This window comes from Homo sapiens, chromosome 2 (assembly GCF_000001405.40).
Source record: "Homo sapiens chromosome 2, GRCh38.p14 Primary Assembly".
Classification (NCBI taxonomy): Eukaryota; Metazoa; Chordata; class Mammalia; order Primates; family Hominidae; genus Homo; species Homo sapiens.
In genome coordinates this window covers 16,167,763-16,170,890 of record NC_000002.12, presented here as the reverse complement: position 1 = coordinate 16,170,890, position 3,128 = coordinate 16,167,763, and the positions used below count along the sequence as shown (strand labels likewise).

Here is a 3,128-nt window from a genome sequence, read left to right as displayed (position 1 = left end):
GATTCTGAAGTGAGGGAAACGTGCTTCACATGAAGTTGCCCAACTGTCTTTCCTCCATGATCTTAAATACTGATAGGCATGCGGGCTCTAATTCTAACAGTTAAAGAAGGAAAGGAGGGAGGAAATGAGAAAGGAGCAGGAAGGGAAAGGAAGAGGAGGAAAGGGAAGAGCAGGGAAGAAAAAAAAAAGAATAATCCAAATTTATTTATTTGTTTATTATTTATTTATTTTGAGACAAAGTTTCGCTCTTGTTGCCCAGGCTAGAGTGCGATGGCGTGATCTCGGCTCACCGCAACCTCTGCCTCCCGGGTTCAAGCGATTCTTCTGCCTCAGCCTCCCCAGTAGCTGGGATTACAGGCATGCGCCACCACACCGGCTAATTTTGTATTTTTATTAGAGATGGGGTTTCTCCATGTTGGTCAGGCTGGTCTTGAACTCCCGACCTCAGGTGATCTGCCCGCCTTGGCTTCCCAAAGTGCTGGGATTACAGGCATGAGCCACCGCGCCCAGCCGATAATCCAAATTTAAAAAGACAAGTGAAAACTAGATATAAAAGCTGATATTATTCCGGGATGCATGAGACACCAAATGCCTGTATACCTGCATAGGTCTGTAGAGAGATGAGGATTTCCCACGTTCATCACTTAGGTTGCCACTGCATTTCTTATTTCAACACCTGCCACGTGCTTATATTTAAGATAGTATGAGATTTTAAAACGATTAATGACTCTGTAAATGAAAATTACTTTTAATTTTCACTGGGCTCAATTTCATACAAGGACTTGGGCTCTATAAATCCTCATTACTAAATATTTTTAAAATTACTTTCACATAAAAATAGAAAAATAAACATTATATCTCACATTTGAAAAAATGCACTTACAGTTTGAAAACCAATTTTGCAATGATTATTTTACTCAGTTTTCTTGTGGGGAGGCAGGATCAAGCAGAATTCATTCACACGTGTATTTATGAAGCACCTACTGTATGCCATACAAGATGGAGATGTAGAAAATCCATTGTGTGAACTGCGTCATCCACAAGGTGTCAACTAACTACATTATCCGGGAAACAAGGCACTCAAGGCCGTGTAGGAGACCTGAAACTGAGTATCAAAGTGATTCTTCCAAAACCACCAGGAAGTTGTTGGCAGACTTGAACCCAGAGCCCCTGACAGAGTCTAACGCTCTCTCACCACCTCATCTCTTTGGACGTAAGTACATGTTGAGTGTACAAGGTCTTGATTCAGAGGTAGCTTCAGACAAACTACATTTTAAAAGTGTATGGTTTTTCATATGTTCCCAGGAAGTGAGCAAATTCGATCTCTTCCTGCTCAGGGGATCCCACCTTAATCACCTACTAGAATTCTACAAGCTGTTTCAAGAAAGTTGCAAATAGTGCTGCCAAAGCCCCTGGTATTCCTCTCATCAAAAGCCTAGAAAGAAAGAAAAAAAGAGAGAGAGAGAAAAGAAAGAAAAAAACGGAAGTAAATAAACTTTAAAAGGAAAGAAGGAAGGAAGGAAGGAATTATTTTATAGAAGATGAAGTTTACATATGTTCAAACATCTGCAAATCCAAACTTCTTATTTGTCCCGTGTGTTTGGGTAGTGGCAGATATTCAGCAGCCCAAGCTTTCATCGTTTCTATTGGAGAATGTGGGGTGAGTTTATTGGGTTAAAATCGGCTTTGTTTGGGTTTGCACCGCCCTTGTTCCCCGGGAGCCCCACATGGGGCGCCAACATGGCCTGGAAGAGGGGCATGTCAAGTGCCCCCCATCATGCATTGTTGCTGCGCAGTGAACTGGAGTCTCAGAGGGGAAGGGAAAAAAAGTAATTCCTCATTTTCATCCTGACCAGGATTCCCCTTTTCTTTGGCGGCCCCCAGCCGCAGTAATCCGCATTCACGGCGCCCAGCCCCGGGTTCCTCTCGGAGTTCTCCCGCTCCTGTCATTGTCTTCTTATCTGGGCCGCTTCTTCCAATGGTGCTCCTTGAAAGCGCTTTCACCGACAAAAAAGGACCAGCTCCATAATGGCCAACTTGGCCCCTTTCTTCTCTCTCTCTCTCCCTCTCAGTCTTTTTTTTTTTTAAGCTTTCCGACGGAGCCGGGCTATTTAATCTTCTTGAGGCGTTCAAGATGTCACTTACCTCTGATGGTGGAGACAATGGGGAAATACTTCCAGCCTGAATGCCGAGCAGTGCTGAATGCCTCTGGCTGCTTTGAAGAGGGTTCTTGGAAGTCTCTGTTTCAGCTGTGGTGGCCCCAGTGCAGGTCTTTTTGTGCAATCTATGCATGCCTCCAGGCCAGCCTCACCAGAGGCGCTTTAGCGTAAAGCACAGTGAATGGCTTTGTCATCACACAGAACCTGGTTCAAATCCCAGCTCAGGCTTGGGCCGATCAGTCATTTAATTATCCCAGGCCTCAGTTTACCTATCTGCGAAAACAGAAGTGAGAATAGCAGGGCCTCAGTTTCCCCTCTCTGTGAAATGTAAGCGAGAGTGATTCCTGCATGAGTCTGCTGCAAAAATTGAATGATAATGAAAAGTACATACCCTCGGCTTCCCACCCTGAAAGTATATGTGTGTGTGTGATTAATTAATGGATTGATTATATAATTTCCTGGCAACTGAAGAGCTAGTGTGTGGAATGCTCACATTCCTTTCTGATGGAAAGGAGTAAGAGGAGTTTCATTAATTAATGAATTGGTGCAGAAGGAACCAAAGGCGCACAACCTTAGTCACCTTTGACCTCTCTCTCCCCACATCCATGAGTCACAGACCTTGCTGACCCTGCCTTTTGCAGGCCACTCCCGCCCCACTGCACTGCCCCCAGGCAAGCCAGCTTGAGTCAAATGGCACTCCCTTGCTCCAGAACATTTCATCTCTCCCTATTGCTTACAGGGTGAAAGGCAAACTCTTCATCTTCGCTTTCTAGACCCCCGATGATTGGCCTGTTTTTCCAGCCTCAACTCCTATCTTTCCCTTCCACGAACCCCACACTCCAGCCAAAGGATTCTCTGCAGCACAGTTTCCCAGCTTCGTGGTGCTGTGGCTTCAGCTTGGAATAATGTCCTCTCCTGCATATCAACCTCTCAAATCCCAACATCCTTCAAGGCCCATGGGAAGGCTTC

General features: G+C 45.0%; 1 annotated feature.

The window, feature by feature from the left end:
* Positions 1,817–2,422: an enhancer, noted in NCBI's record as "NANOG-H3K27ac-H3K4me1 hESC enhancer chr2:16349737-16350342 (GRCh37/hg19 assembly coordinates)". NCBI's record gives its function as "activates a minimal SCP1, AML or CMV promoter by ChIP-STARR-seq in naive and primed H9 embryonic stem cells {active_cell/tissue: H9 hESC(naive and primed)}" and the evidence as "EXISTENCE:reporter gene assay evidence [ECO:0000049][PMID:30033119]".